General features: G+C 39.1%; 1 protein-coding gene across 39 annotated transcripts in view; it reads left to right on the top strand.

The window, feature by feature from the left end:
* The window catches only part of CHD1L (chromodomain helicase DNA binding protein 1 like), a 123,016-nt gene that overhangs the window by 87,038 nt on the left and 22,517 nt on the right, over positions 1–13,461 (top strand). For 9 of the 39 annotated variants that reach the window (NM_001348451.2, NM_004284.6, NM_001348455.2 and 6 more), the window contains 7 exons: positions 53–134; positions 4,638–4,800; positions 6,148–6,303; positions 7,642–7,734; positions 8,998–9,094; positions 11,148–11,221; positions 12,387–12,497. In NM_001348451.2, the coding sequence (NP_001335380.1) occupies positions 53–134; positions 4,638–4,800; positions 6,148–6,303; positions 7,642–7,734; positions 8,998–9,094; positions 11,148–11,221; positions 12,387–12,497 (776 nt within the window). Of the gene's footprint in view, positions 1–52; positions 135–4,637; positions 4,801–6,147; positions 6,304–7,641; positions 7,735–8,997; positions 9,095–11,147; positions 11,222–12,386; positions 12,498–12,521; positions 12,847–13,461 lie in introns of those variants that run through there. The other 30 variants (NM_001348462.2, NM_001348457.2, NM_001348459.2 and 27 more) reach the window with 15 other exon arrangements.

Genomic DNA, 13,461 nt, shown 5'->3' on the forward strand with positions numbered 1-13,461 from the left:
GAAATATGTGTTTAAATTACACAAAACTGAAAGCTTGGGTTTTCTCTCACAGATTCCCTTGGAGTGTTCTTGTTGTGGATGAAGCTCACAGGTTGAAAAACCAAAGCTCCCTGCTGCATAAGACCTTGTCAGAGGTAAACTTACAGTGTAGCCTTAGTTTTTATATAACCCCTTCTTTTTAAATATACATTATATTTTAGAGTAATTTTAGATTCACAACAAAATTGAACAGAAACTACAGATGTTTCCCATGCATATGTCCCCACACATGTACAGCTGTCCCCTGTCCCCACACTTGTACAGCTTCACCCATTATCAACATACCCCACCAGAGTGGCACAGTTGTTGCAACTGATGAACCTACATTGATACATCGCTATCACTCAAAGTCCATAGTTTACATTCGGGTTCACTCTTGGTGGTGTGCATTCTGTAGGTTTGGACAAATGTACAATACCATGATATCTACTGTTATAGTATCATACAGAGTAGTTTCACTGCCCTAAAAATCCTATGTGCTCCACATATTCATCTTTTCTTCGTAACTCCCTTTAAAAAATACTAGTTTAGGCCTATATAGAGTCAATTAAATTGAAACCTTTTTTCGAGTTCGATTTCTGCAGGGCTAAATGAACATTTTATAGAAGACAGAAGAAGTACTAAATATGGCCTAACTTCTTCTTTCTTTTATATTGGAGATAGGTTTACTAATATCTGGTGAATAAGAACCCTACCCCAATAGAATGCATTTTATTTCAGATGTTTCAACTCTCTTTTGATTATCTTCAAAGGAACAATTTCTCTTAAAAAATCTTATTATAATTCTTCTTTGTGCAATAGTAGATATATCAGACATGTTGTACCCTTCCCCCCAATTTACCTGTTGAAAAAATTTGATAGTTCACCTGGGTTCATGAAGAGACCAATTACATGCTATTGAATATTACCTCCAGTTTGTCTTGTCTTTGTCCTACTTTTGAGCATAATACACTTGCTTTCATTCCTTTCTCTGGATCTCTTGCATCATTCTGGCAAAGTAGATGAGAAATACCATTGTACCCTAGATGGGCCCTTTTTTCCGAGGAGTCAGTGCGATGTGAAATACCCTTTTTATTGACCTGGTAAAGATTTGTTCATTGATGAGACCACATATGTTAATTTCTGTGATGATAATTGAAGTTTGGTCCTTGTCCTATAATAAACCAATTAATAAATTTAGAGGTCACTTGGAGGAAAGTCTTAGATATGAATTCTATTTTTACTGGTCTGAAAGTTGTAGTTTTTAGAGTCTTAATGTAGATACGATCACTGTGTATTATTAGCCCAGTCTCAAAGGTCGCTGTCCCCTGGTGGGGCCCCCTCTATCCCTGGTGTCCTTTGCTTTCTTTGTAGGGACTTTTAACAGTATCTCCTTCTGAGAGCTTGTCTTGGTCTGTTTTTCACAGACTGGGTAATTCATATGAGCAGAAATTTATTTATCACCGTTCTAGAGGCTGGGAAGTCCAAGATCAAGGTGCCAGCATTTGGCAAGAGCCTTCTTAACTGCATCCTCACATGACAGAAGGTGGACGGGCAAGAGGGAGCAGAAGAGCAAGCTATCCAAATGCTGCATGACACTTTTTTTTTTTTATATATAAAGGCCTTAATCTTATTCACGAGGGAAAAGTTCTTATGAACTAACCACCTCTTAAAGGCGCTACCTCTTAATAATATTACATTGACAACACCTGAATTTTGAAGGAAACACATTCAATCCATAGCAGTTGTCATATCCTGGCATCTAACCTTATGAAAGATGGCTTCATAAACTACTGTGCCAGTTTACTAATTTAAAACGGGAGGAGAGAAGCAGGCATAGTAAAAGAACCTGGATTTGGAGTGGGAAAGCTAAGTTCTGTTGCTGGCCCCAGAGCCTTTTCTTGTTATTCATAAGGAAACTAAGGCTCAGGGATTAAGTGAAGAAATGGTTCTGGGTCATCTAAGCATTCCTTTTTAGATGAAGCTTGGGTTGCAGATAACTAGTTGGAAAGAAAATACATGTATTTATTGGGCTGAGATGGGGAGGGGGATACTGCCGTTTTTTATTTCCCCCTAATATTGTTTTCAGTTTATAAAAGTTGGACGCAACCAGCCGGGCGCAGTGGCTCACGCCTGTAATCCCAGCACTTTGGGAGGCTGAGATGGGTGGATCACGAGGTCAGGAGATCGAGACCATCCTGGCTAATACGGTGAAACCCCGTCTCTACTAAAAAATTCAAAAAATTAGCTGGGCATGGTGGTGGGCGCCTGTAGTCCCAGCTACTTGGGAGGCTGAGGCAGGAGAATGGCGTAAACCTGAGAGATGGAGCTGGCAGTGAGCCGAGATTGCGCCACTGCACTCCAGCCTGGGCGACAGAGCGAGACTCTGTCTCAAAAAAAAAAAAAAAAATAGTTGGAAGCAACCTAAATGTAAAATATAGGGAATTGGTTGTACAATTTATGCGACATTCATGCAGTGCATTTGCAAAAGGTAAGGCTACCAAGAACAATTATGTAGAAGAATATTTAATAACATGGAAAATGTTTGCAAAGTATTTTATACACACACAAAAAAGCTTACAAAATACTATTTACAAACAGAGATGGTCTCTGAATCTTTACCCAGTTATAAATTTTGATCCCAAAATGGACCTAACTGAATCAAAATGTTAATTTGTGTCATAGGGTAAGTTACCTGTAGCGACTAGCAGCCTTGGTTTCCTTTGTGACCTCACAGCCTTCATTCACCTCAGCTCTTTACTTGGTGAACACATATTGTAAGAATGTGAACTGATGATTGGAAACATTACTTTTGACAAGTTCCCATACTTGAAATACTACAAAAACATCACCTAACAAGCAGAACAACCATGAATGGGTAGACATTGATTAGACATTTAAAAAGAAACAAATAAAAAAGGGAGATGGCAAAAAAAAAAATTGTTTACATCTGTTTTCATTGATTGTGTTATTCATTTATCATTTTTTGTATTATAAAAGCAGTGTCTTCCTATGGCCCCCCCTCCAAATCAAAATATAGAAAGACAAGAAGAAAAGGAAAACATCCCAGTAATCCTACTCCTACATTAACACTTTAATGGTTTAATGGTGTATGTGCTGCCATAATCTTTGCTGTGTGTATACATTCAAAAAGTAATGTATATATGCATATATATTATTTAAAAAGTCAAAATGTATATTAAATATCAAAATATTGTGTATATACGTGTATACATACATGTATGTAAATGTGTATATACATATGTATGTATGTGCATAGATACACTTACATACATACATATGTATATATACGTTTACATACTATGTTTTGACATTTAAAACAGGCTGTAATTACAGGCTCACACCTGTAATCCTAGCACTTTGGGAGGCCGAGGCAGGAAGATCACTTGAACCCAGGAGTTCAAAAGCAGCCTGGGCAACATAGTGAGACCTTGTCGCTATAAGAAAATTTAAGAAATTAGCTGAATGTGGTGGTGAGTGTGTGTAGCTCCAGCTACTGGGGAGGCTGAAGTGGGAAGATCACTTGAACCGGGAGGAGGAGGTTACAGTGAGCCGAGATCATGCCTCTGTACTCCAGCGTGGGTGACAGAGCAAGACCCTGTCTCAAAAAAAAAAAAAAAAAGATATACATACACAAGATGTCAAGATATGGCTTCCTCATTTTGATGTATTGTTTAATTCTACTAAATTCTTGTGAATGTCAGTTTAGAGAATATCTTTTGCTTGACCTAATATCTTTTCTTCTTTTTCCTGACCTTCTACTTCATGTCTCTCTTACTCTTGGTGTTCTTCTCTGTTGTTCAAAATTTAAGGACATTTTTTTTCCATTTGAGATTCTCTGTGATCTCCAGAGACACCAGAACCTTCCTAACCTTCTACTTCATGTCTCTCTTACTCTTGGTGTTCTTCTCTGTTGTTCGAAATTTAAGGACTTTTTTTTTCCATTTGAGATTCTCTGTGATCACCAGAAACATCCAGAAATCTTGACATCTTGCATCTTGGTGTTCTTCTTTGTTGTTGAAAATTTAAGGAAATTTTTTTTCCATTTAAGATTCTCTGTGGTGCTGTGTCCAGAAACATCCAGAAATCTTGACATCTTGCATCTGATGCACCATTAAATTTTATAAAAGGAAAGTCTCCTATTATAAATCTTACTTATTGCTTGCAGTGGTGGGGCCTGATGCTGTAGCGTTGGATTCTCAAACTGCATGAGCATGTGCATTGTGTCTCAGATACCTCAGTAGACTCCCCGACACAGGCAGTAACACATAGTTTGAATCCCCATCTAAATTCAGTAATAACAGCCATATTAAATTCTCATGCAATACTTCAGAGTTCACAAAGTGTTACTACATCCTTATATAAGTGTTTTCTTCACAGGATTATTGTCCCCTTCTTATAGTTGAAACTGAAGAGGTATTATTTCATCTGCATCAAACAGCTAGTTTGCAGCTTCAACCTGAGCCATCTGATTTCATGTCCCCTCAGTCATTTCATTAAATCATGCCTCTCTCTGTGTGGGTAAAGGTTGTGATGGGTAACTCAGCCTTGCATTCCAGTGTTATGGAATTTTTATTTTATTTATTTATGTATTTGAGTTCTCAGTAGTCTTCAGTCTCCTGTTGACCGGAACTCCCATCCAGAACAGCCTCCAAGAGCTCTACTCCCTCCTCAGTTTTGTGGAGCCTGATCTCTTTTCCAAGGAAGAGGTGGGAGATTTTATTCAACGCTACCAGGATATTGAGAAAGAATCTGAGTCAGGCAAGTTCCTTTCCTGCAAATCATCCCCAAGAAGCCTTGGCACAGAAACCATCCTCATGCATAATGGTTATAGGTAGAAAAGAAGGAGAATTGATGACCAGAGGACACCTTCCAGGGAGACAGACCGCTGATATTAGGGAGATGTTAAGTCACACATGTTGTTCCCAGTTGTCTGCTGTTCATGCCTCTCTTAATTGTTTGCTATTTGATTCTGCAGTAGGGCTTCTTTAGTTCATTTTTGGAAGAAATAGAAAGTGCCTGCTGATTTGCAGACTTTTTTTTCCAACTTGTAATTTCTATAAAGGCTTTGTTAACTTTATAAGTCACTTCCTGAGGGAGAAAAGAATGTGGGTGCTGTAGTCCCAAACTACTGTTCAGCATACTACAGCACTGGTATTTCTTTTAATGCTGCACCAAAACCAGAATTCTGGGATGGGAACCCTTCCTCATTCATACAGCCAAGAGTTGTAGTCTTCTGTTCTTGTACCTTTGCCCCTCTGTGTTGTAGGATTATCCATCTATCCCTGTGATATTATCCTGGGATGATTTTTCAAAACAGGTAGGAGGTATGCCAACTAGTGAGTTTGTATGTGTTGGGTAAGTATGAGTTTGAGGGGGCTTCTCATAGCAAAAATCTCCAGACCATAGACTGAAGATCACCTGGCGAACCTGCTCTGATTACTCCCATGTTTTGGGTTACCTGACAAAATATAAGACTTCTAGTCAAATGCATGACATACTTGTATTACATGGGACACACTTGTGTTAAAAAGTTATTCATTATTTATTTGAAATTCAAGTTTAACTGGGCATCTGTATTTCCATTTGCATATCTGGCAATCCTACAGGTAGTATAATTCTAATTTAGAATAATTTTTGAAATTCAAGACATCTGGGGAAAGAAGGGATTTTAAGTCAAAGAGCCAAATTTGAATGCTGGCCACATTCACATCCAGCTGTGTGACTTTGGATAAGTTGCCTAATTTCTGAGCCTCACTTAACTTAGCTATAAAAATGGGGACAGTATTCCTCACTTGAAATTTCTAAGCTGTTATGCTGATCAATGAGATTAAACGCAAAAATATTCTGGAAACAAAACAGCTTTGTGCAAATGAGATAAGAAGTTATTTGAGTGTTCCTCGTTCTTGGGCTAAGAACAAGTCATGATTCCAGAAAAAAGATGATCCCAATGAAGGAAGAAATACTATAAAAAAATGATCATACTGGCCTAGAATGCAAAATAAGCGTGAAATAAGAAACAAAAATAAATTTCTTTAAGTTCTCTAGGGTTCATTGCCTTGGTTCTACTTTTGTCCCACACTTCTTGTATTTTTTTTTCTTATGTAGCAAGTGAACTGCACAAACTCTTGCAGCCATTTCTGCTGAGGCGAGTGAAAGCTGAGGTAGCTACAGAGCTTCCCAAGAAGACAGAAGTAGTGATATACCATGGCATGTCAGCATTGCAGAAGAAATACTACAAGGCCATTTTGATGAAAGACCTAGGTAATCAGAGGGCACTTGTCCATTTAGAAACTAAATGAGGATGTGATTTCAGGTAGTAAAATATTTTATAATCACACTCATTTGTATGATCCCAAGAATATGGGATGGAATTTTGTATTCTGAATAATTCTGGTCGGCTACAGTGGGACTGTGGCAGAGCATCTTAAAGATAACAGCCTTGGTTGTTGCAGTTGTGAAATTTCCTTTTCTCCCCTCACTCAGTTTTTCTTAGTGCCTGTAATTAAGCAAACACTTCCAGGTGTCCCAGTCATGTCTTTCATCCTCCCACCCTGTCAGATACGGTAGTCCACCCTCATTCACAGTTTTGCTTTCCAGGGTTTCAGTTCTGCACTGAACTGCAGTCTGAAAATATTAAATGAAGATTCCAAAAATAATTCATAAATTTTAAATCAAACTCTGTTGTTAGTAGCATGATGAAATCTCACTCTGTTCCACCCAGGACATGAATCCTCCTTTTGTTCTGCGTATCCACGCCGTCAGCGTTAGTAGCCTGCTCTGTCATCAGTCCAATAGTCATGGTATCACAGTGCTTTTGTTCAACTGATCTTTATTTTACTTAAAAATGGCCCCAAAGCACAAGAGTAGTGATGCCTGCATTTTGGATATTCTAAAGAAGCCATAAAGTGCTTCCTTTAAGCAAAAAAGGTTAAAGTTCTCAATAAAAAAATGAAAAACAATTATATGCTGAGATTGGTAAGAACAAATCTTCTGTCTGTGACATTGTGAATAGAATATTGTTATAATTGTTGTATTTTATTATGAGACGTTAATATTTTACTGTGCCAAATTAAACTTTATCATAGGTATGTATGTATGGGAAAAAACACAGAATACATATAGGGTTTGGTACTATCCATGGTTTCCAATATCCACTGGGGGTTTTGGAACATATTCCCCATGGGTAAGGGGGAACTGCTGTATTTAAGAGAGTGCAAAACTTTTTTGTTGAATCAAATTCACTGGGAGGAATTGGAAGTGACAAGGGAAAGATAGTGAAATAATTTCTCAAATTGCACTTTTTTGTCCCTTGACTCCACAACAACAGTTAAAGAAAATTTAGAATTTGCAAAAGAGTAACAGAGTACTTCTGAGTTCTATTTACAGTTGAGGGTCTTTCTTAAAACAAAATGGTTGAGAAAATTTTATGTGAACATGCTGTTAATTCTCAATACAATTCAGTGAAATTTGGGAGGTTAGTATAGGTTCAAAGGATATAATTGAAATGATTAAGGTTACTTGTAAAAACTCAGGGTTTTGGTTTCTGTTTTGTTCAGTAGGCCATCTCTTTCTGTCTCTCTCTTTTTTTTTAAATTTCAGATGCATTTGAAAATGAGACGGCAAAGAAAGTTAAACTACAGAACATTTTGTCCCAGCTTCGAAAGTGTGTGGATCACCCATATTTGTTTGATGGTGAGACAGTGCCTTTTCCCCCCACATTATTCTTTGGTAATGTTTCTGTGGCCAAATCATACCAAAATTCTTCAAAATAATTGCATATACTTACTTTGTCTACTTTGTTTATTCTCAATTTCTCTGTATTGGTATTAACTCATATATTCATGTTCAGATATCTTCAGTTGTCCCGGTAATATCCCTTCTGGCTATATTTTTCTTTTTTTGTTAAATCCACGATCCAGTCCTAGATCCTGCAGACCCTGCATTGCATTTGCCATGTCTCTTTATTCTTCTATAATCTAGAAACATTCTTCAGCGTTTTTTTTCTTTCATTACATGAAGAGTCAAGACCAGTGGTTTTGTGGAATGCATGATAAGCTGGGTTCTTAAAAATCATTTCTTCTTGATTAGATTTCCCATTGTCTTGAATTGACTCAGTCAGCCTTTCCTCACCGCTACTCCAGGTTCACTAATGATCTCCCTGTTGCCCAACCAATGGTTATTTGTTAGTTCACATTTCAGTTACCCTCTCAGAAGCCTTTGGCACAGCTAATCACTTCTTTCTTGAAGCACTTTCGTCCCTCAGCTTCTGGGATATACTTTCTCTTCTCCATCTGCTCCTTCTCAGTCTCCTTTGTTGCTTCCCCTTCATCATACAGACCTCAGTAAATTTTCCCCTGGGCACCGCTTTAGCTGCATCCTAGGAATTTTGATGTGTGGTGTTTTTGTTTTTCTTCATACTGGGGCTTTTTTGATTCCCTGATTGGTAACCCTTGGAGCAAGCACTCCTGTGGCCATGGAGACTCTAGATAGGATCAGTACAGAGGGCTTGCTGCAGTCATTTTAAGGGAATCTCTGCCAAATAGTGCTAAGAACTGTTTAAAGATTGCACAAAATCTCAAGTAGGTGCATATGAGAACTTTTTTTAAGAGGAGGGGGTGTTGGGAACACATAGGTTTTGAAAGAAGTCCTCCAGGTTATTCTGACTGCCATTTTGACTTATTTTATAGAGTGAGTCTCGATTTCAGTTTTGGGTCTCCTTGACCTTTAGCATCTTCTTCTGTCTCAGTTTCCTGAAGAGTGGTTTTATTCCTTACACAGATGTTTATTAGGCTTGTTGGATGTGCTAGGCTGTGTAATTGGTGTTAAGCAGGACTGAGATCATCATGCAAACAACTACTTATATGATGAGCTTTTGGCTTCTCTTCCTGTAGCCTAGCTACTGGCTTCTGCCCTTACTGAGGGCACATTACTGGGAGTGGGTTCTTTCTTTTCTAGGTGTGGAGCCGGAGCCTTTTGAAGTTGGAGACCACCTGACTGAGGCTAGTGGGAAGCTTCACCTGCTGGATAAGCTACTAGCATTCCTGTATTCTGGGTAGGTGGTAGGTTCACATTTGCTGCTCTGAGCTAATGACTGTTAAAACCTGACTATTGAGGAACTCACTGAGTTGTTCAGGCCAATTCCAGTTTTCTTTTTTTTCTTAACACTGATTCAGGTTCTGCCTTCTCTGTGACTACACTCCCACCCCATTCTATCCCACTCCACCCCTTCCACAATCATTCTTTCGTTTCCTGAATTTGTACAGCACTTATAATCCTAATCCAGCACTTGGCAATGTGCTGCCGTAATCTGCTGTCTGATTAACTGGTGTTTATGTTTACCGTTATCATTCCAACTATATATTGTTTGGCTCTACAAGGACAGAGACAACACTGAGCATTTCTTTTATAGTTGCCTGCTAGTAACTTGGCATTGAATTGACACATAATGAAGGCTCAGTAAACATTCATTTTTGTTAACCTGTGGGGTTTGATTTAAACTTAAGGGGAACTTGAAGGACTCTTTCTCAGGGACATGAGTTGCGCATTAGAAGACGAGGTTCAGAGCCAGGCACTGTGGCTCGCGCCTGTAATCCCAATACTTTGGGAGGCTGAGGTGGGCGGATCATGAGGTCAAGAGATCGAGACCATCTTGGCCAACATGGTGAAACCCTGTCTCTACTAAAAATGCAAAAATTAGCCGGGTGTGGTGGCAGGCGCCTGTAGTCCCAGCTACTTGGGAGGCTGAGGCAGGAGAATCACTGGAACCCTAGAGGCAGAGGTTGCAGTGAGCCAAGATCATGCCACTGCACTCCAGCCTGGTGACAGAGCGAGGCTCCATCTCAAAAAAAAAAAAAAAAAAAAGACCAGGTTCAGTTAGTGTTCAACAGCCATGTGTTCAGCTTATACCTAATCCTCCTAGTCACCAGAGTTCTCTCTTTCTAGAGGAGTCTAGGAAAAGCCCAGATTCCCATGGGTTTCAAAATTATCCCTTTGGAATGACTGTCTTAGGTATGGCCTGAACTAATCTAAAACTTCAGATTTGGCAAAATTGCTCAACTTTAGGAATGTGCAAGTTAAATAATTTCATGTCTTACTGTATTTCATTGGTTCTCGTATATCTGCCATAAGTATGTTAGAGTTGGAGAAGGACCTATAAATGCCTTCTGGCCAGTTTTTTATTTCACAGACCCAGAAAGGTTATATGACTTGCCCAAGGTCACACAGCCAACAAATGGCAGAAATGAGATTAGAATTGAGGTTTTCAGGTTCATTGCTTTCTCTACCCATTTGGGGCTTGAATCTTGAAAGAGTTCCCCATAATTTTTCCTCTTACACTTGTTGCAAGCTCAGATTAAATAAGTTTTTATAATGAGAATATTGTTTTGACAGTGCTGTGCTTCTTTGTTTATGCAAATTTAAAATAACAGCCAGTAACAAGGGACTCTAGGCTTGACTTTGTTCTTGACTTACTCCATCATTTTGCCGCCTTTCTTCCCTCCTCTCGCTATACAAAAATTTTCTCGTGTTATGGAAAATGAGACATCACTTACCCCTTGCTTCTCTAAAGTAATGCTTCTCAGACTTTTCAACCCATATAGCTGTAGATGAGAGGATAGTGACTTTACACCCCCAAACAGGGCATAGTTGTAGATGACTGACCACAGGCTTTCTTCAGAGTCTCCAGTTTTTCTTTTCTTTTTTTTTGTGTGTGTATTTGAATTTTGCATTTTACTCTTCACATATCTGTATTTATTTTGCTACTAAAATGAAAGCTTATATTTCTTTCCATTGAGCAAATTGACATTCCAGAAAGAGGCACCTTGTTTATTCTAGGGCTTATATCCCCTGTTGCATTGACACGTCTCCTGGGAATAATCTCCACTCTAGTTTGAGGATGACTGCTCTGAGGGATACAGCTACCTGTGGAGGTGTATTCTCATAGAAAGCATTTGGAGGTTCTGAGGCAGTCTATAAATCATACGACACTTATATTTCTACTTTGGTATTTATTTATAAACTTTTATTGTTTGGTAAATTTTGCCTGAGGGAAATTGACCTTAAATACCACTAGACTTGGCAGTGTTTCCTTTTCTTTTTCTTGCCAGGGGCCATCGGGTTTTACTTTTCTCCCAAATGACCCAGATGTTGGATATTCTCCAAGACTATATGGATTACAGAGGTGACACCTTTTGGCCACTACATTACCTAAGGCTCTGTTAGACTTAACAGTCCAGATAGGTCCATGAAGAATAATATGGGATATGAGAATATTACAAAGGAAAGCAGGGTGAGAACATTATTCAGAACCAAAAAATCAAAAGGCGAGAGGAGAGTGATGTGTGAAGGCAAGGATGGACAGCAGAGAACAGGCACGTGGGCAGAAATAAACACCCACGTTCCCATCAGTTACATGATTTAAAATTATGGGCCGTGGAGCAAATGTTGTGGAAATGTTTTTGAAAATGTGTGATAAAGTTTCAGTGACTAGAGCTTTTAGCGTCTTGTAACATTCACCTCAACAGTTGAGCACTTACTCATGATCAGTGAAAAGGTGAATATTGAAATTATAGAGATAACAAATAAGCCAGGGGAAAAGTAAGAGCAACTTTTTCTGCATAGACAATAAAGAATGTAGGTTATTACCTGGGAAGTCTGTTTAATATGTAATAAGATTTGTGTGAGATGATGAGAAAAGGCTCTAACATGAGTTGATCTTGAGCCCAATGTTGAACAGCTCCAGACCTTACAATTTAAAAAAGTAGTTCAGACCGGGTGTCTGAGTTCCGCAGTATACCTGGTCCAGTGGACACTTGCAGAATGCCGTTGGCACATGCCACTGGCCATTGAGGGGTCCCCAGATGCATAAACAGCCTGATCCTGTAGCTCCCCTTCCCCACACGGATGCATGGAGGCAGGTGGCGAACTCTAAAGCCTCACTGAAAGGCAGATTGCTGGACTGTTAGAAGGGGCTCACTCACCTGCCTCCAAGCGCTTGTCTTCTGTTTACATAAGAATTACATCTCAGCAAAGTTGAAACTATCACACAGGATAGATGCTCAGGGTTGCTTGAGAATAGTCAAAACTGAGTATTAACTTCATAAGTGCCAAAGACTTCAACTGCATGTATTTAAAAAATCCAGAGGAGTATGTTATGGTGAGTTATTTTGTAAAATGATAATTGTCCCTGTTAATTTAAATTTTTCCCTTTGGGATTTGCTTAAAGTAGGGCTGTGCCTGTATATGGAAAGGGACAAAATTGGCCTTTGGTTTTGGGCTTAATTTTTTATTCCCCAAAGACTACTTGAAAAGGGTTAAGATTTCTGTTTTTCTTCCTCTCTGTAAAGGCTACAGCTATGAGCGTGTGGATGGTTCTGTGAGAGGAGAAGAGAGACACTTGGCCATTAAGAACTTTGGACAGCAGCCCATTTTCGTTTTTCTCCTGAGTACTAGGGCAGGTAGGCTGCAAAGGCATTGATGGAAACAGACAAATGAGGGATAATAGAGTACTATTACATCCCAACGGTTAGTACACTTTTTTCCTTAATTCTCTGAAAGGTGAGGTTACTATTGAATGTAAAACAAGGTACTGGACATCAAGCATGGTGCTGTTTTCTATCCAGCCTGTCCAAACTGTCATCTCAGCAAAGAAGTAAGGCTGAAACCTGGGGTTATTGGAAAGTAATTCTAATCTGCTTTGACCATTGACCTGGGAATGTCCTGAAAGATTTATGTGATTTTGTGGAATGTTTCATTTACATTCAGTGGAAGTAGCTCTTCTTCCCAACCGTGAATTTGGGAAATAAGGTAACAGTTTGTCTACTAGTTGTCCTTCCTCTATAAGTATTTCTGGAATAGTGCTGAAAAGCTTAACAAAAATCTAGTTGTTAAAAAATGTGATTATGTTGAAAATACCAACTTTTTAGAATTATTTATGACATCATCCATATATGATTTAAATCGTGAATATTACGACATTTGTAATGCTTTACCAGTTACAGAGTGCTTTCATTTACTGTTACATAATTTGAAATCAGCTCTTGGAGATGAAATGATTCTCTAAGTCATTGTGGTGTCTGGAAAAAAAAAAAAAAAGGCCGGCACGGTGGCCCATGCCTGTAATCCCAGCACTTTGGGAGGCTGAGGTGGGTGGATCACTGGAGGTGAGGAGTTTGAGACCAGCCTGGCCAACATGGTGAAACCCCGTCTCTACTTAAAAAAATACAAAACTTAGCTGGATGTAGTGGTGCGTGCCTGTAATCCCAACTACTACGGAGGCTGAGGCAGGAGAACCGCTGGAATCCAGGAGGCGGAGGTTGCAGTGAGCCAAGATTGCACCACTACATTCCAGCCTAAGAAATTTTTCTCAGGTCCTGGAGCAAGCTGACCTTAGTTTTCAACTCATAGGATCCTAGTTTCATT

Source organism: Homo sapiens, chromosome 1 (assembly GCF_000001405.40).
Source record: "Homo sapiens chromosome 1, GRCh38.p14 Primary Assembly".
In the NCBI taxonomy this organism is placed as follows: Eukaryota; Metazoa; Chordata; class Mammalia; order Primates; family Hominidae; genus Homo; species Homo sapiens.